This window comes from Homo sapiens, chromosome 1, assembly GCF_000001405.40.
Source record: "Homo sapiens chromosome 1, GRCh38.p14 Primary Assembly".
Lineage (NCBI taxonomy): Eukaryota > Metazoa > Chordata > Mammalia > Primates > Hominidae > Homo > Homo sapiens.
In genome coordinates this window covers 20,370,132-20,389,653 of record NC_000001.11, presented here as the reverse complement: position 1 = coordinate 20,389,653, position 19,522 = coordinate 20,370,132, and the positions used below count along the sequence as shown (strand labels likewise).

Below are 19,522 nucleotides of genomic sequence, written 5' to 3'. Positions count from 1 at the left end.
TAGCTTTGAGGGTTGACCCAATCCTGGCCATTTTTCTAAACATGCATTGATTCCTGCCCACATCTGGAGGCCACTCCAGAAACCAGAGATGATTGTCATAATAAAACAATAGGCACAGCTAACTCTCGCTGAGCACTTTCTATAGCTCCAAGGCATAAAGGAATTTACCCTGTGAATTCTCACAACCACAAGGAGTGGGTACTTCATCATCCTCATTTTTTGAAGGTGGAAACAGGCTCAGAGAAGTTAACTCGCTGAAAGTCAACCAGTAATTGGTAGAAACAATCCTAAACCTAACTGTCTGATTTAAACATCTGGTCTGGCTCTTAGGCAGGAGGCTGCCCTGCTCCAGCCCTGCTCCTCCTCCTGATATTCATCAAAGAGAGCTTATTCGAAGGAGCAGAGAGTGGCAGTGGACTCAGAGGATCTGGGAGAACAAACTCGGGCCAGCTTACTGTGTGTTCCAAGGCTTTTGAGCGTGTAACCATTTGTGTGTTCACGGGTGGGTCGTTATATGTGTTTGAGATTTTGTATATGACCACATGCCCAAAATTGTGTTGTGTGTGTCCTGCATATGTTTGCGTCCTCACGTGTGTGTTTGCAAGTGAGTGGCTGGGTGCCTTTGTGTTCTTGTATATGTGTGTGTTCATGCTAATGTACATTAAGTGAGTATCCAATTTTTATTGGGTACTTACTATGTTCCAGGGACAACTGTAAGTGCTTCACAAGTATCAACTAATTTCATCTTCACAACAATCCTATGAGGAAGTACTATTACTATCCTCATATCATAGATAAGGAAATCAAAGCACAGTGAGGGTGCCAAGTTGCTCAAGCATCCCTTCTGATTACAGAACACGTTTTCTTCCTTTACATCCACCCTCCCTCATTTTTGGGCCATATGGCTTAGGTATTGATTCCCCACCTCCCCCATACCTGGTTGGCCGTGGGACCCAGGTGTGGCGAATCAGAGTCACTGTGATTGGCGCAAGCAGCTGAAGCAAGTAGCTGCTCATGAGAAGCACCTGAGGGTAGTTCAGTGTCACTCAAAGCATGGTCTGCAGATAGCATCGAATTCCTAGGTCCCACCCCTGAGCTCCAGAATCAGAAGCTTCGGAGCTGGGACCCAGGACTCTGTGCTTTCACAAGCCCTCCATGTGACCCTTGTGTACTTGAGAGCCTGGACCATGAAGCCACACCATCTGGGTTGGGTTGGAATTCTAGCTGCACCACTCATTAGCTATGGACAAGTTATATAAGCTTTCTGTGCTTCAATCTCCTCATCCATGAAATGTAAATAGCAGTAGTCCTGACCTTTTTAAGGATTAAGTGGGTTAAGACATACATGTTCCTAGAGAAGTCCCTGGCACGTGACTTGTTGCAGGAGGGCGCACTGTCACTGTCACTCTGCAGGGATGAGCATGAGACCCAACCCTGCCCAATGAGCAATCCTAGGACTTTTCCTGGTACCATTAGGAACAAAGTGGCTCCTTCTACTGGGGTAGGGTATAAGCCTGGAGCTGCTGGTGACCGCATGCCTCCTCAGGGGGAAAGCTCGCCTGAGAATAAAATGACCAAGAAGGAAGTCAAGAGGCAAGGGGTCCCTGAGGACATTTTTGGAGCTCCTGGATCCATGGCTGGACTTGTCAATTTCATGAGCAAATTCTTTTCCCTTTGGCTTCAGCCACTCTGAGTTGGGCTCCTGGCAGTTGCACATGGACAGCTCCTGCCGGGTACCTCATCTGACTTAAACAAAGGAGTGACTGCAAGTGAGTCCAAGGCCATCAGTGAGTTGAAGCAGTGCTGGGATTCCTAATCTCCAGTCTGTCACCTCTTATTGGCTGCCTTTTCCCGACAAGGCAACCCCAAACCATATCTCCCAGGCCTCGACAGTCGGTTCTCTGGGGCGGGCATCTGTAGGCTGACCCTGCACATTGAAGGTACCATTTCGTTTCTTTGTCAGCGTCACTGTTTGCTTGGGAGGGGTGGCAGAGCTTCCTCCTGGAGTCCAATTTCATCATGATCGGAGGCACCTTAGTCATGTAGGGGCTTTTTGCTGAGGCTCCTTGGCCTTTAGAGTGTCAAAAAAGACAGTCCTCTGCCAGGCTCTATCACGGTGATGCCAAGGCACCAAGCCTGGACATGGGCTGAGGTTGGAGGCTTCGTGGGCAGTGATTCTGTCCGCCTCCTTTCCTGATTTGTGTGTCGTGTGGGGCAGGGTCAGAGGCCATTTTCTGCCTTAGTTTCCCCAATTTGCAGGCCTCTGGCTTCCTGCTTCAGTTGCAGCCTGACCAGGCCCTCTCTGCCTTCTGCCCTCATCCCCCTTGGTCTTGGTCTGCCCTACCTCTTGCCCAGTTTCCCATGGCTCTCTAGACCCCTCCCTCCACTCCCATCATCCCCGTATTGCCCCATTTCAAGTTCCCACCTTCTCCCCGTCTCCCAAGTTCCCAGCCTCCTTGAATTTCCTCCATCTGACCTCTCTCCATCTCTCCCAGCCCCTGCAGCCCCCCACTCATGTCAGTGTCCCTGTAACTCCTGTTCTTCTCTCTCCAGGGTTCTCTGAGTTTCTCTATTCTCTCTGCCTCTCCCTTCCTCCTCCCCCTCAGCCCTGCCTCGGGCAGCCACCCCACACATGTCTGCCCCTCTTCCCCTCCTCCCCCCATCTCCTCCAGGTGGCCCGCTGCCAGTCTGGTACCAGCCGGGTTGCCATGGGAACCACTGAGCGGCTTAGGAAGCTGCCATAGATCCAATCATGGGCTGTGAGGTTTCAAGGAACAGCTCTTTTTGGTGCTGACAGCCGATTAGGCTGATGCTGGGAGGTGGGGGGCAGGGGGAACAGGAGCCAGGGAAGATGTCAGCCAAGGCAGGGCTGGCCCTTGAGGCACCTGGGAGCAGGAGGCCAGATCTGCCCAGCCCATGCTGTCTGTGCCTTACTAGCACTCTCAGACCCTCTGGAATTTTCCTGAAGAGATCATTGATGCTACATGCATTCTCTCCTTGCTTCCCTTTCACTCACATTCATTCATTGGTTTGCTGATTCATTCATTCACTCACAAAACCCTTCCTATTGGTCATGTACCTCCGAGCCTTTCCAGTGCAGTGGGAGAGACAAACCCTTACACAAACTCCTGCCCCCAGTAGGCCCAGTGTTGTGACTGGGGGTATCCAGGGCTGTGGGATCACCAAGGAAGGCAGGAGGCCCATGGTACTTGGAGAGAGTGAGGGGGCCTGAGGGTGCGCTTCACAGGACATTTAGATCTGCATCTCCAGGAGGGAGGAACAGGAGTTCGTCAGCCAAGAAGGGGAAGGCTTTCCCCGACCTGCAAGTTCCACCTCTGAAGGTGACCACGGAATCTGTTTTTGAGTGTGCATCCCAGGCGATTCAGACACAGACCAAAGAGTGAGGTCATGCAAAGTCACTACTGATGGAGACATTTCTGTGGGGGCTGCAGAGTGGCCCCCAGAGCACACCCTTTTACAGCTGTGCTGAGGATGGCCTGGGGAGTAAGCCCACTTCAGGAAAAATAGCCCAAAGTTCACAGCAGCCAAGTCCCCTGGGGTTGATGGTCTGTGTTTCTGGAGGGCAGAAGGTGGGGGATTCTCTGGGGGAGTTGTTCCCACTTGCTTACACCTGCACCCCATTTTAGTTGTGTAGCCAGCAGGGCTGCGTCAGAGCTTTGCGGGCCAGGAGGGCCTGCCAGCTTGGTTTAGTCTTAGATGGCTCCCCTGATACCAGGCTTTTGGTTTTTCTCATCTAAACCAGAGACTGTGTTTGCACATAATTTGCATACATTTGCATATGGTGTCGGCGGGGCCCAGCATAACATGCAGAAAACACATTTTTCTCGCCAGGGTGCTTTGCAGCCTGGATTAGAGCCCAGGTGCGCAGAGACCAGGAGCTATAAAACTCTTCCCTCCTTTGGCCCTTGATGCTCCTCCAACTCACTCCTTCCTGCACCCCTCCCCACTGTGGAACTTAGACCCCAAGTCAGCAGGTCTGGGAAAGCCATTCCAGTAAGGAAGCCTGGATTGCTCTGGGTCTAGTTCAATTATACTTGCTGTGTGACATGGGAAGGTCACTTTTAGTGTCTCCGTCTGCCTTTGTATGAGTCTAGGTTTTACTGAAGATCGGGGGAGGAGGGTACAGAAGCATCACTTCATTCATTCCTTCCCTCCTTTATTCATTCATCTGATTCTATTCATTGTGTGCTTACAATGTACCAGGCCCTTGGTTCTAGAAGGAGTGAAACTAGCCATGTTCCCTGCCCTCTGGGGGTTTCAGGGAGACTGGCTTTAATCAAATGACCACATCAATCAATGTACAATTACGGTCTAGATAAGTGCTACACAGAGACATATGTGGTGCTACATGGAAGCTCAGAATTGGTCTGGAAGGTCATGGATGACTTCCTAGAGAAAGCGTCCTTCCACTGAGATGTTATATAGACAAATAGGGCCAAGAAGAGCTTTCCACTTAGAAGGAACAGTATGTGCAACGGCCCTGGGGTGGGAAGGAGCAGGATGAGTGTGCAGAGGGAGAGGAAGGCAGTGTGACTGAGTGGAGAAGGGTGTGACGTGAGAATACGCAGGAAGGTGGGGCCGACTCCTCAGGACTTTTCTGGCCCGTTACGGAAGATTGTCTTTAAGACAGTGGTGCCTCTATTCTGAGAGCAGTGGGAAACACAAGGCGAGGAAGTGACATTAACAGCGTGTGGAGAAGGGGTGGAGCAGAAATGAGAACGCCAATCGGGAGGCTGTGGGGGTTGTCCAGGTGACACAAGGCAAGGGCTTGAGTTAGGGTCACGAAAGTGACCTGAGATCATCAGGCAGTGACATAAGCAAGGCTTAGTGGTAGATGGAGGACAGGGGTGTGAGGAGGTGTTGACAATGACCGCTAGACTTCTGGACGGGAAGATGAGCCATTGACTGAAGTGGTGAACGTGGGGCTGGGGGAATCCAGGTTTGGGGGTGAAGAAAGGAATTGAATATGGTTAAATTTGCATTTCCATTCAAGCATCCTAGTGGTAGTTGGGCAGAAGGGAAGAGGCAGATAGGGGTGTTGTGTCCTTCCACCCCCAGTCCCCCAGCCACAGGAAGGGGGGCTCCCTGCATCCTGCACCTTACAGAAGCACCTGGCCTCATCTGTCTATAGATTAGTGTTTTAGACTTATTTCTAACCTAAGAGTAAGCAGAACATTGGGGAATGCAAAGAGCACCTTCCTTTACTATGTGTATTAAACTTGCATCCTCCCTATATGGGAATTGTATTTTCTGAATTCCAAGACAGCACCCACAAAGGATTCTCAGGCTTGTTCCAGGAGTAATGTGCATTATGATTTGCATGCTGTATAGGAACTGGGAAAACCAGAAGGGAAGGCAGGAGAAAGGAAAAAGGGACCTATTTTTAATGAACATCTACTGGATGCCAGACCTTAGGTGAGCCTTTTCTCTTTTACTAGCATTACACTGTTTAACTCTCACAAAACTAAGGTATGTATTATTGAGCCCGTTTTACAGATGAGAACACTGAGGCTCAGAGAGGTTAGATACATTGTCCCAATTGCACAGGTAGTGTGGGTCGGGGGTGGAATTTTAACCCAGGCATGCCTATGTCTAAAGCTCATGTTCTTTTCACCTCACCAGTCCTATCTGAAAGTGGAGTGCTAATCTGGGGCCCAGGAAGGATTTGGCTTTCTTCAGGGCCAGGGAGCTGGAGGGCAGAGAGTCTACTTGGTTTATGCACTGCCGGTCTAGTGGAAGCTCAGAGCTGAGCTTTCTCAGTACAGTTGTCTGCACCTGGCTCCCACTCCTAATTTAGCAGCTTCAATACCTCGTTCACCTTTCAGCTGCAGCCACTTTGGTCTTCTCACTGTCCCGTGGGAGTGCCAAAGGCTTTCTCACCTCTACACCACTGCTTCTGCTGCTGCCCCTCTTAGAAAGTCTTGTTCTGCTCAAGCCTTGCCCACCCTCCACATCCCAGCCTCCAGCACACCCCTTCTTGTCCTTTGTGACCAGCTCAGGGGTCTCCTCTGTGAACCCTCCCCCCTGATTCTCTGGGCAGAGTTGAACCCTCCCTCTCATGAACCAGCAGGGTGCCTAAGAGTCTCCCAGGGCCGGGTTCAAATCCTGACTCTTCCACTTAGGAGCTCAGTGATCTGCAGCAAATTACTTAACCTCTCTGGGTCTCAGTTTGCTGCTCTGTAAAGTGGCTATCATAATGGCACCAACTTTACAGGCTAACATAATGTGTTATGAGACTAACATAATGAGATGAGTGAGACGATGCCTGGCAGACTGTGAGCCCTGGATGGGTGATGGACCCAGGTGGCATGCAGCCCACTGTTAGGTGCATATTTATTTACTCATTTGTCTTCCCCTCCAGGCTGGGAGCTCCCTGAGGACGGAGGCTTTCTTTTATTTCAGTATTCCCAGTGCGTACCACAGGGCTGATACAGACTAGGTATTTAGTGTGCATTTATTGAATGAATGGACAGGTGCCAGAGTTTTTATTCTATATATTTTGTCTTCCCTTCCCTGCGTTTAGCTTTTCAGAGGTTACAGCTGGGTTTCATGCTTAGCCGTGCCCTTCACAGAAGCAGACCTGCACACAGTAGGTTCCCAATAAAGGTTTGTGGTTTATTTCTGCAGGCAATCCCTTCCCAAACAAACAGCATCCAGCCTCTGATCCACACGAGCATCCGCCGCCCTCCTGGGTGTAATGGATACATATTTATTATTGCCCACGTGCCTCTCCTCCCCTGCCGAGCACCGTATTAAATGGCTGTTCCTCAGCTCCAGTGCACAAATATTCCTTTCAAAATTATTACATTCACCTTTTGTTGGCAGAACATGCCATATGAAACATCCCAGCCTCTTATTGAGTGTGGGTGTCTGCTTTCTGCTTCCGCCTCAACAGCAGTACTGAGGCCAGAAGGCCTTGTCAGGGTTCCAAGTGTCTGCGTGGCCAACTATTGGCTGGACCCAAGGAGCCAGTGTGGGACCTGATTCTGGGTTAACCTGAGCTGACCCAGTCAAGGCTATCAACATCACATCACTGTCTTCATCACTGACACCATTACCAGCATTACCACCATCACATGGCCATAGCCACCATCACCACTACCACTGTCATCACCACCACCACTATCGTCACCACCATCACCACAATCATTACCACCATCACTATTACTACCAACTTCGCTGCCATGATTACCACTGCCATCTGCATAGCCACCATCATTATCTCCATGTTCAACATTACCACATCATCATAACCATCATTTTCACCACACCACATTCATTACAATCACAATTAATACTATTAATTACTAACATTTATTGAGAGCTTTATCTATGATAGATGTAGAACTAAGCCCCTTATGTGTGTGACTTTACTAATCCTTCAAATGACCCTAGAGGCAGGTACATTTTAAATTCTTGTTTTACAGATGAGAAAACTGAAGCTCAGAGAGGTTAAGAAACTTGCTCAACATCACACAGCAAGTGGTTTTTGTTTCTTTTTTTAACTCAAGTCAGCAGACATTTAATGAGTGTTCATTAGCACATAGGATACGGTACCAGGGACACAAAAATGAGTGTATTTCCTGACCACAGGGATCTTTACAGCTTTCTCAAGGAGATCAGACATATAATTAATACAACACAGCCTACAGGTGTGTCTTCGAGAGATAAGGTAAACTACCCTGAGGGCCATGGGAGAGATCACTTCTGGTTAAGACCTCGATCTAGAGGCATTCCTATAATACAAACATTTTGATAAAATCTGTCCTAAGCTTTTCGGTCATGTAAGAGCCTTCTTGGCCAGGTGTGGTGGCTCACACCTGTAATCCCAGCACTTTGGGAGGCCGAGGCTGGTGGATCACCAGAGGTCAGGAGTTTGAGACCAGCCTGGCCAACGTAGCGAAACCCCGTCTCTACTAAAAATACAAAAATTAGCCAGATGTGGTGGTGCGCACCTGTAATCCCAGCTACTCGGGAGGCTGAGGCAGGAGAATCACTTGAACCCGGGAGGCAGAGGTTGCAGTGAGCCGAGAGTGCGCCACCGCACTCCAGCCTGGGCAACAGAGCAAGACTCCATCTCAAAAAAAAAAAAAAAAAAAAGCCTTCTTGTCTTTCTGACTGACTCAAAGGAAGACTTGGCTGTCTCTCTAACTCCTCCTGCCTATGCCCTAGGCCAATTTTTCTTGCTGTGCCAGGTTTGCCAAGACCGCCATCTTGGTTTCCAGCTGGAAGGAAGTTTAGCAGCCCTTTTACAGATGGAGAAAACTGAGGCTCAGAGAAGGGAAGAAACTTATTGAAGGGAGAGAGTAAGCTCTTCTTTTTCAGTTCCCTGACATTGCAGTCATTCTGTGAGGGCTGTTTGGACTCTGAGTTTATCAAGAATGAAAGGGGAAGTGCCTGTATTAGGACCTTCTTTCCTCATCAGTTGGTTTATGTGGTATATGGTGGTTGGGGGCCTGGGGGTCTCTGGCCCCCTGTTGCTTCTTCTCTTTTGGTCTCTTCCAAGGGGACCTCAGGACAGCTGGGTGGGCCTGGGGGAGGGGGCTGAGAGCTCTTGTTCATCTTCAGGAGTTCATATTCCCCATGGCTGGCCAGGGAATCCTTTCCTCACCGAGGGATCACATGGCATGGCCTCCAGAGCCCCATCTGAACACCGCGTGGACAGCACTTCAGTCCGCGTGTTCTCTTGGAGTAGCAGACTGGCCCTTTTCCCGAGAGGCTGGAGCAGGCAAGAGCGAGAGTGGAAGGATTTTGAGCTGTTTCCTGAGCGGTGAATGCAACCCCACCTTTTGGCATTCTCTCAAGGACTGCAGAAAAGCCTTCAGCTGGTCTTTTGATGATCTCTGGGTATGAGATGAATGTTTCTGTGAATGTGACTCATGCTGAGGTTGACTTCAAGGAGGAGGCGAAATGGCCAGGCTCTAAGAGGGTTACACTTGATTCCTTCATTTATTTGCTCTTTCAACAAATAGTTTTTGGCCTCCCACGAAGTGTCAGGCATTGTGCTGGGAAGCGGGGTGGCAGTGGTGAGGACAGAGTAGATGTGGTTTCTGCCCTTATGGGGAAGAAGGGAAGACAGATGTGACTCCAGTAGTTACACGAATGGAAACAATTACACAGAGTTTTAAGCTCTACCCCCAAAGAAGCAAGGGCTGCTGAGAGAATGTGGAACAGGGACTGGCCAGTGGGTTTTGGGCATCCCAGTGATAACACTTACAGAGTGCTAATGGTGCTGGGTGGGCTGGGCTGCAGCTGCAGCACTGGTTGTTAACTTTGTTAGCTGGCTGTAACCTGTGTGGTATCAGTTCTTCAATATTCTGTTATCCGCAGGGCCACGCGCTGTTCCTAGTGCTTCACTCATACATATTTACTCATTTCCTCCTTACCCCTATGAGATAAGAACTCTTGTTATTTTACAGATTGGGAAACGGAGGCACCGAAAGATTGAGTGCATTTTCCAATAATATACAGCTAATAAGCAGCAGGGTGAGGGTTCGAACGCAGGCCCTCTGGCTTCAGAATCTAGCCTTTCTCCATTCCACTCCTAATGCTTCTGGTGGATGAGTGAGTTTAATGAGGTAAAGATGGGGCAGCTGTGGGGTTGGGGTGGGTTTCAAGCACAGAGCTGTGTGGAAAATGCCTGGTAGTAGGAAGGGCACAGGACACTCAAGGAAGCAGGTGAGGCTGGTGCAGCTGGCATTAGGGGCCAAGGGGCTGGGGGGTGGGGAAAGAGGGCAGGTGGCAGGCAGGGGAAATGGACAGAGCAGGATTACATGGAGCCTGGGAGCATTATGGTTCCGGCCAGGATCCCAGCAGAGTGAGCTCCACAGGGGTGGGCACTGTGTCTCTTTTCTTCATTCATGTATACCCAGCTCTGAGCACACTGCCTGGCACATAGGAGATGCCCAATAGTGATCTGGTGAAGGACAAAGTAGGGAGCCAACTCCCTTCTCTCCAGCCCTCACCCAGCTTTGGCTTCCCCAGTTCCCACTGTCTATTAAAATTCTAGTTGCTGGGGCTCCAGCCCTGGAAAATGCAGTTTAGTAATTCTTGGTGGGCCTGGGGATCTGTATTTTCAATAAGCTCCCAAGATGATTCTGACTTTGCCTGGTTGCCCCTGGACACTCCTGGAAGCTGGTGGTTCTGCTTGTAAGGGGGCAGCATCGGGGTGGGGTGCCGCCCTGCAGACACTTGCTGGGGGACACACCTTGAGCTCACTGCCCCCCATCTCAATGTTTGTCTACAGCACTGTGGAAAGAAACTCTCTTGGTGGACTTTCCAGTGCTGGTTCCCTGGCAGCCCTCTCCTCTTCTGGGGTTGTGGACGTCAGCTCCCGGGCTGACCCTGGCCACCCGAAAACCTGGACTGGATCATCGTTGATATGGTCGCTATGGCTATGTTCCCACTCAAATCTCATCTTGAATTGTAGCTCCCATAATTCTCACATGTTGTGGGAGGGACCTGGTGGGAGATAATTGAATTCTGGGGGCAGTTTCCCCTATACCATTCTTATGGTAGTGAATAAGTCTCAAGAGATCTGATGGTCTTATAAGAGGAAGCCCCTTTTGCTTGTCTCTCATTTCTCTCCTGCCTGCCACCATGTAAGATGTGCCTTTTGCCTTCCACGGTGATTGTGAGGCCTCTCAAGCCACGTGGAACTGTGAGTCCATTAAACCTCTTTTTCTTTATAAATTACCCAGTCTTGGGTAGTCTTTATCTGCAGCGTGAAAACAGACTAATACAATAGTGGACCCTGAGTTTTAGGCATTCTAGAAATCTGTTGGGAACCGAGAGAGAGAGAAATCAATCATTCAGTCAACCATCCAACAAACGAATTAGTCAATCTAGAGAAGAGAGAGGGAAGAGGAGTGGGGTGGAGACAAGGAAGAAGGTAAAATAGAAGAGATGGAGGAGAGATTGAGAATGGAGACGAGGAGTGAGAAGAGAAAGAGGGAGAGAACAGATAGCGAGAGACAGAGAGAGGAGAGACTGCTGAACGTGGGGATGCGGTGGTTCTTGGGGGACAGCCCTGAATAACAGCATTGTAGGCATTTGACAGAAAGGGCCTAGTTGTCCCAGCTATTCTTGGAGAGGGCCTGAGGGGTCACACATGAGCACAGCTTACAGGTGGTGCAGGTGTTGAGAGAGGTGGTCATTCTCCTGATAGCCATCATCTTATAGTTTGTTGTTGTTGTTTAAGATGGAGTCTCAATATGCTGCCCAGGCTGGAGTGTGGTGGTGCCAACATAGCTCATTGCAGCCTTGAACACCCAGGCTCAAGTGATCCTCCTATCTCAGCCTCCCAAGTAGCTGGGACTACAGGTGAGCACCAACCACACTTGGCTAATTTTTGTATTTTTTTGTAGAGACAGGCTTCTGCTGTGTTGCCCAGGCTGGTCTCAAACTCCTGGCCTCAAGCGATCCTCCTGCCTCAGCCTCCTAAAGTGTTGAGATGACAGGTGTGAGCCACCACACCCAGCCATCTTACAGTTTTGAAGCCGGTGAAACTGGCAGGGCTGGAGGTGGCTGGGAAAGGCAGTTGTGCCAGGCCTAGTGGAGGCTGGGGCTCCACTTATCTCATTCAGAACTGAAGACCTGAGCTGTGATGGCGCAGGGGCCCTCGGCATCTGGGCCATTAGCAGAGGGACTGGCAGTTGCACAGGCCAGAAAGGAGCCCACCTGTAGGAAAAAGATAAGTCTGATAGGCCAGACTCAGTTTCCCTAGCTAGAAAATGAGGGCATGGGACCAGGAGATCATACCCACAGCTACTAACATTAACCTCCTGCTATGTGTCACACTCCTTTCTTGGGCCTTCCGGGAACCCGTCCTGAGCTGGCCGGACTCACCATTCCAACCTCAGCCCCTGCCACTCTCCCCACACCATCCTGCCATCTTTCAACCTCACCAGGCTCATGTACGCCAAGCCTGTTCCTGCCTCAGGGCCTTTGTACGTGCTGTTCCCTCTGCAGAATGTCCTCCCGTGGTCTTTGCCTGACTGGCTCCTTGCTATCACCTCTTCAGAGAAGCCCTCCATCATCACCCTGCCTCAAGTAGCTTCCCAGCCACTTGCCTTTACAGTACTCAGTTTTATTCTTTGTCACTCCATTCCCCTTCCGGCATAGGTGCTCCATTAAATCAGGAACCTTGTTGCTTCTGGTATCTGGGGTGTCCCACCGCTACCCCCATGTGAGTGCCTGGCACATATAGATACTTGATACCTGCTTGCTGAATAAATGAATAAGTGCAACTTGGTAAGTTGGTGCTTAATTTGTGTTATTTCAAGTAGATGTCATAAATATTTGCTTTCATTAGGTATTGAGGGAGATGTTATCATCAGGGTCCTACACACAAGGAAACTGAGGTTCCCAGAGGTGAGGTCACACAGCTGGGACCTGGACTCAAGGCTCTGCCTCCAAAGCCCTCTCCCCCAGGGTGCCCCCACCTTTTGTCGAGCAAAGAGGAGACACCAGCCACGAGGAGCTGAGGGTAATCTTTGTGCTTTAGAGATGAGGAGGTGATGGCTGCGGGCGAAGTCACTCAGCACTGCCACCCTCAGGCCTGTGGTGGTAATGCCTCTAGGCTCCTTCCTGGGGCACGCTGCCTGCAACTCTGTGATTCTCAGAGACCCAGGGCAGGGCTGGGAGCAAGTGGCTGCTGTGTGGTTCACGCACCACCTCCAGCAGTTGGCTCCTAGAGGTGCCCAGTCAGAACAATACACAGGGATTTCGGGAGAGAGTGCTGTCCTTCAAATCATTCAGGCTCATTTCCCAGACAGGCCAAGCACAATGCCACAGATTTCCCCAGTGGCATTACCCACAGGACAGGTGCCCCTTGCCTCTGTGGGTAGCAGAGAAGTGCCTCATGTGTCCGAAGACTGCAGAAGTCTGCCTCACTGGTCACCTGTCTGTCGGCAGTGGTCTACACCTCTTCAAACCCCTGAGCTGAGGTTTATCGTGGTCAAGGGGCAAGATCATGGCTATTAGAGCCACCTTCGTCTAGATTCAAGTCCCAGCTATGCAACTTACTGGCTGGGTGATGTTAGGCAAGTTACATTACTCTCCAAGCCTCAGTTTCCCTATCTGTAAAAGGGAGATGCTTGTCAAAGTGCTTGGTCCAGAGTTAAGTCAACAAGCGGCATATCAGCCCCTTGCCATCTGGCTACATTTTCACCTCTGGCCACTCCTGCCCAGTTCCTCTGCCATGCTTTGCACACACTGTTCTCTGCCTGGACGCTCACCCTGCCTTGCTTGCTGGGCCAAGGTCTCTTCCTTCTACATGGCAGGCACCGCCTCCAGGAAGCCTTCCCAGACACCCTCAGGGCATTGGTCTATCCTGGGTTCTCTGAGCCTCCATACTGTTAGAGTGGTGAGGTCTGTAACGGTCAGTGTGTGTGGACCAGGGTTGTGTCATTTTTGTCCCAATGACTCCAGCACAGGACTCAGCAGGAGTAATATCAGTTGAATACATAGATAAAAGAAGCACTAGAAAATAGAAATGAATTAATGAGTAGAGAAAGGAAAGAAGAAAGCATGGAGGAAGGAAAAAAACAAAATAAAGGAAAAAGAGAAGAAAGCAAGGGAGGGAGAGAAAACAGAAGATGAAAAGAAATGAGAGAGAAAAGGCAGAGAAGGAAGTGGGTCCTCCTAGGGTCCCTCCCGCCATGCTGATGTCTCAAGTCCCAGCTATGAAACTTACTTACCCCCCGTCCTGCCTGCTTCTGTCTGCCTGTCACTCCGCAGAGGTCCTCAGTTGCCTCCGGCTCCCGCAAAATATTCTTTGTTCTCTTGCCTGCTCTGCTCCGCCTCTCCCTGCTTGTTAGGTGCCAAAATGGTGGAATGATCAGAGGTAAAGCATGTCTGTCACCAGGCATGGTGGGGCTGATTCATCGAAAGATGCTCCTGTCCCCCAGGCTCTGCTGCAGAGGCTGACTCAGCCCTGGCTGCCTCTCTCCTAAGGTCACAGCGGTGTCTTCCCCAGAGGGTCCAGAAAATGTAGCACAGGCTTCGAAAAGGGCACAGCCCCTGGAGCTAGAGAATTTCTTTTTGAGCAATTGGGATCAGAGAACCCTTGGCTTGAATGTGGTGGGGCAGACCCTAAGGATGCTGGAAGGGGCTGGGAGGTGGTTCAGCCTGTGCCGGAGCTAGGGGAGCCCCAGTTCCACTTGGCATTCTGGAACAACCTCGTGGGCAATTCCTTGAGCACGATCCAGGAAGGCTGGTATCTGGGGATGGGCTTGGGCTGGTAGGGGAGCGGGCAGGCTTTCCAGATGGGACTGGAGACAGGGCTGAGAGAGCACAGGAGAGGCAACACTCTGCAGGCTGGGAGGCAGAGGCCAAGATTCAGAAAGGCTGCCAGAGCCGAGCCAGCTCCAGTCTGAGATGACAGCCACTAAGAACCCAGACAATAGCCACTTTTTCTGGGCGCCTACTATGTGCCAGGTCTCTACCATGTACTCGGGGCTCCAGGGGCCTTGTTTCATTCCATCCTCACAGCAGCCTTCTGGCATAGGTGTCATTGTCATCTCCATGTGAGGAAACCACAGCTTGGAGAGGTCAGAAGTCCTCAAGCCCATGGCTGTAGAATGTCAGAGTCCTGATCTGAACCAAGAACAGCCAAGCCCTGTTGCCTTCCTGGCAAGGCCTACCCTTTAGAAATGGCTTACTAATTTTTCTAGAATATAATAATACATGCTAGCTGTAGAAATGTAGGGAAGTAGAGTTCAAAGAAGAAAACAGAATTTACCCCAAACCCAGCATTTTTTCCCCTATGCCCTTAAAAAAACCACAGCAGGCACCATGTGGCTTCTTGTTATTCCTACTTAACATTAAAGCAGAAGCATTGTCCTTGGAGAATACAACTTTTGGCAAGTATAATTTTTACTGGCTGTCATAGTATTCTGGTTGGGGATACGTGCCCTAATTTCCTTAGCCATTCCCCTATACCTGGACATTTGGATGGACTCCAAAGTTTCACTGTTATAAGCAAGACTGCTATGTGTTTCTTTGTGTTCAAGCTTTTTCTGTTTCAGGCCTGAGCATTCAGGAGATTTCTGGAAGGGGAATGGTTGGGTCAAAGGGAGGGCTGCTTTGGGGAGTGGGTCGAGTGGAAGAGGACCAAGGAATCCTGGCAGTCACCCCCAAGAAGGGTACTTTTTTTCTAAGACAGACCAGCTCATTGAGGGAGGCTGCCTTCCTTTGGACTAACTGGCCTAAGTTACACCGACATCAGAACTTTTAATGATACCTTTTTGACCTTCTGACTGTTTCTTTACCCTCTTATAAGCACTGTGGGTGTGTGTTGAGGGGCCCTTCATACATTCACCTTGCTACTGGGTTCCTGAAGGCATCCGCAGATTCAGAGAGCTTGGGGATAATCTTATTCAACCCTCCTCATATGCACACAGCTGTACCATTTGACAGGTGCAGTGACTGAGTCCCAGTAAGGACAGGTAACTTGTTCAATCTGCCTGAGAGTAACTTTGCTAAGAGCAGATGGAGGCTCCCTGGCTTCATGGCTCCCTCCACTGTGTTAGATGCCTTGCATTTTGTTTTGATTCCAGGTCATATAATTCTATCCCCAAGCATAATGAAGAACAATTGCTGGTATCATGGTTGCCATGGCAACACTGGTTCCAAATTTCCTGCTAGAGGTGCTAGGAGTGAGGGCTTGGGCTATGAGGGTTCTGAGGCTGGGATGGGGGTGCTGACCGGAATGGGGCTGGAGTCCACTAAGCTCATGCCAGTGCGATGACATCACCCTGATGCCCTCAAGGAAGACCCAAGGCTGGGCCCAGAGCATGGACTGTCACCAACAATGCTCCAATTTGGTGCTGATGTTCCCTGTGCAAAGAGAAGCAGAATCCATGTTTCACTTTTTTTTTTTTTTTTTTAAAGACTGGATGATGAGAGGCACAGCTGAGTCCGGAGCAGACTGAGCCACCTAAGAGGGGAGGAACCGCTGCAGAGAAACCGTGTTAAGCCTTTTTGAAGTTCCAGAGGGAGAACAAGAGAGCGGAGGCTCCTGGTGGCTGGTGACAGGTGCTGATTTGTTCTGGGGAAAGAGCACAGAAAAGTGCCTGGAGAGGAGGCGGGGCCAAAATGGGATGTAGGCGATGGGAAGGACCCTCAAGACACAGTCCTGGGCTCCCAGGCAGGACCAACCCCCAAACCTGTCCCCCCAGGAGCCTGCAGAGCCACTGCCCTGACAGGGGACACCTCACTTCCTCTCCTTGCAGCTGCTCTTGGCTGGGAGAGCAGAGAACAGGGGACAGGAGAGAAGCCCCGAGAGTACTGAAGCTGAGGCTGGGGCGGTCTTCACTTCCCTCTTTCCTCGGCCCTTTTCCTGTTCTCTTGTCTTGTCTCTCTTTCTCTACTTTCCTTCTCCCTAGCCCAGTCTCTCACCGCTCTTCAGCCTCTGGGCCTTTCCTTCTTCCTCTCTTGCCCTCATTCTTCCTTCTCTGTCCCTCTTGTCTTCTCTTTTACCTCTTCTCTTCTTCCCTCCTTCCTACAGCTATGCCCTCTTCCCTCCTTTCTCTTGTCCCCAACCAGGGCATTAGAAATGCATTCCAGTTACACTGATCTGATCACTGCATATTGTATGCATGCATCAAAATATCACATGTACCCCAGAAATATGTAAATTACTGCATATCAATAAAAAGAAATGTAGCTTCTTTGCCTCACATACAGAAAAGCCAATCTGAAGTATAAATAAATAAACAAACAAATAAATAAAACGAACCACACTGGCCCCCCCGCCGCCTCCCAGCCATCATCTGGGCCTGCCACTATTTGCTCAGGGTATCTAAACATCAGCCAAAATCAAAGAAAAAGTTTTAAAATCTATTGTTAAAAATTTCCAAGGCTAAGTTGACATGCATGTACAATAGCATTTCCCAAACTGTGACTTAATAAACTCCAAGCCTTCAAGTTGGGAGAGGTGGTTCCATGATACCGTTAAAAGCACAGACTGAAGCCCATCTGCCTGGGTTTAAATCCTTGCTCTGCAGCATGATAGTTATGTGACCTTGGGCAAGGGCTTAAGTCGTTCTGTGCTGCAGTTTCCCTCTCTGCAAATGGTAATAATAATAATACCTGCTTCATAAGTTGTTATAAAGATTAATTGCCTTAAAATGGAAAGATCTTAGGACAATTCCTGGCTCTTAATAAGTGCTCTATAAGTGTTAGTGATTCCTAGAAGCATTGCATGAAAGGAAGTTTGAAAAACACTGAATACTTCTTGGCTGCCATCTTGAAAATAACACAATAGCACATTAGAGGGTCCAGAAGTCCTACAGCAAAAGACCTGTATGACTCTGTTTACCTTAGTAATCCTCAAACTTATTTTTACTATAGTACTCCCAATCTCTTCTTTTATGCACCAAACACCTGTCTCTGAGGACACTCTCACTTTTTGAGTGGATCACAGTTTGAGAACTGCTGATTTGGGATTATTCACTGTTTGAAGACCATGTTGAGTGAGGTAGAGCGAGAAAGCATTATCTGAGTCATCAGGAAGATGTAGGGTCAAATGCGAGCTTTACCCTCCCCAGGCACAGGGCCCAGGAAGTGTGTGGGCAGTCCCCAAGAGGAGAAAAGGCTTGCCCAAGGCCACACAGCCAGTTAGGGTGAGACTCAAGATTATTACACAGGATTTCCAAACCTAGACCTTTCCATCTCCCTCCTCTTCCTCATTATCAAATAAAGGCAGGAGGTCTTTGTGTTGTTGCTGCTAGAGGACAGTCCCTCCTCATCTGCTCCCTCCCTGGTTGGCTTTTCATGCCTTTCGGGAGCTGGGCTGCAGTGCTCACCCCAGAGCACATGCTTTTCTCCCAATCAGAGAGAGGGAGGAGGCGAGATGTCCTCAGTTTCCCACCCACAAGAAGAAGAAAAAAGAAAAAAAGAAAAAGAAAAGTAAAAGAGCTAAGGCATTTTTTTTTAAAAAAGCTCCCCACATACGCAGAGTGACCAAGTAGAATCCTTTTGAGAGAGGACTTGTGTGCCCTGTCCCTGGTGCTGAAACATGGCTGGGCACCTGGGCAGTGGTCTCCAACCCCGGCACTGGCTGGAAGGGCTGCTGCAGAATCTTCTGTGGGAATGGACGGGAGATTTCCACTTAATTCTGTGATTTCAAGGTCTCGCATCTCACCTGTTGGATCAGAATCCCCTGGGGTGGGCACCTGCCTTCCATGTGTTCGAAAATCTCCTGAGGAGGGTGATTTGGGACCCCACTACCTTGGGGAGCATTTATGTAACCCAACCCTGGTCCACCTCTCTCATGGATCATTGTTTGTCAGTGATATTATTTTGTGATTTTCTGAAAAAAATTGTAATTTTGATACTCTTGCAGGAAAGAAAACTCCATGATATATTTTTACTATTAATGGAGCAGATTTTATGGCCGGTTGACAGTTCTATTATTTTTATGGCAGTAGCAATTTTTTTCTACTCTGGGGGCTTTAGGATGCATATTCCTAGTGAATCCACATTTGTGGTCCTCTGGAGTCCACAGGAGCTAAATGAGGCTATTCCCTCCCCATTCCTTCTTTTGGCCTGCAGGTCTTGTGGTTTACAGAGCTGGAATGGTCTTAATTATGTTCGCGTGTTCTCTGTCTCCATGTTGCACTGCTCCAGGCAGAGATGAGAAGCTTCTGCTGTGGTATTTGTTCTTTCAGGCACTTCTCTTTTCCCCTGGGATCCTCAGGAAAACCCTCCTTGGTGGAGAAACAGTTGCATTGGGCATCCTGCCAAGAAAGATGCCGGCGAGATGGGGCCAGAGAGCTTCATTAGCCCGTGACGAGGCCCCTGGGCTCTAATACTGGGGAGGAGGGTGGATTCTACCATTGCATCCGGTCTCATTCTCTTATCTGATGTCCCAGATGCTACAGCAGGTAGCTCTAGGCCAGATGGAAGTATACAGTCGTGGTTATGAGCACAGGATTTGGAACTGGACCTGGGTTCAAATCCTGGCTCTGCTTTTTGCTAGCCATCTGACTCTGGACAAGCTTTTTTCTTTTTCTTTCCCAGTTACTGGGCCTCAGTTGCCTAATGTGTAAAATACAGACAGCACTACACATGCCTCAACAGGGTTGAGGTAGAGATCAAGTAAGAAAATTGATATAAAGTGTCATCCTATAAACCATCGTAGCTTATTACAATCATACAAATGGATCTCTACCCAAGTGACGATGGCAAACTTTAGAAAAGCATTTACATTTTATTGTGATATTCTTGGAGTCCTGCAAACTTCCACTCCTCTGGTGGAGTAGAAATTGAGTTCTAACAATGAAGTTGAAGGCAGATGTTTGAGGTCATGGAAGGGCAGGGTTGTATGTCCAGATCAGAGTGTTGATCGCTGCTCTTTCTCAGGCCTCTTCCCGACGTAACTCTAAAGAGCAGCACAGTGAGAAAGAAAGGGAACCATTCCAGGGTTGGAAAAGGTCCCTGAGTTTCCCCCAGCCTCTAGCATGGGGGCCCTTGGCCAGCATGGGCCTGGGGCTGC

General features: G+C 49.5%; 1 long non-coding RNA gene across 1 annotated transcript in view, besides 4 other annotated features; it reads left to right on the top strand.

The window, feature by feature from the left end:
• Positions 1–19,522, top strand: part of LINC01141 (long intergenic non-protein coding RNA 1141) — a 68,994-nt gene that overhangs the window by 39,141 nt on the left and 10,331 nt on the right. Inside the window, exons 7-10 of the long non-coding RNA NR_033887.1 lie at positions 10,628–10,681; positions 11,222–11,343; positions 12,145–12,273; positions 15,916–16,059. This is a non-coding gene — a long non-coding RNA (long intergenic non-protein coding RNA 1141). The remainder of the gene's footprint in view (positions 1–10,627; positions 10,682–11,221; positions 11,344–12,144; positions 12,274–15,915; positions 16,060–19,522) is intronic.
• Positions 8,393–9,592: an enhancer, noted in NCBI's record as "CDK7 strongly-dependent group 2 enhancer chr1:20706555-20707754 (GRCh37/hg19 assembly coordinates)". NCBI's record gives its function as "activates an origin of replication core promoter dependent on BRD2, BRD4, P300/CBP, MED14 and CDK7 cofactors, with strong dependence on CDK7, by STARR-seq in HCT116 cells {active_cell/tissue: HCT116}" and the evidence as "EXISTENCE:reporter gene assay evidence [ECO:0000049][PMID:35650434]".
• Positions 8,508–8,737: an enhancer, noted in NCBI's record as "active region_321". NCBI's record gives its function as "activates an Ori minimal core promoter by ATAC-STARR-seq in GM12878 lymphoblastoid cells {active_cell/tissue: GM12878}" and the evidence as "EXISTENCE:reporter gene assay evidence [ECO:0000049][PMID:35858748]".
• Positions 12,657–12,706: an enhancer, noted in NCBI's record as "active region_320". NCBI's record gives its function as "activates an Ori minimal core promoter by ATAC-STARR-seq in GM12878 lymphoblastoid cells {active_cell/tissue: GM12878}" and the evidence as "EXISTENCE:reporter gene assay evidence [ECO:0000049][PMID:35858748]".
• Positions 13,671–14,170: an enhancer, noted in NCBI's record as "H3K4me1 hESC enhancer chr1:20701977-20702476 (GRCh37/hg19 assembly coordinates)". NCBI's record gives its function as "activates a minimal SCP1, AML or CMV promoter by ChIP-STARR-seq in naive H9 embryonic stem cells {active_cell/tissue: H9 hESC(naive)}" and the evidence as "EXISTENCE:reporter gene assay evidence [ECO:0000049][PMID:30033119]".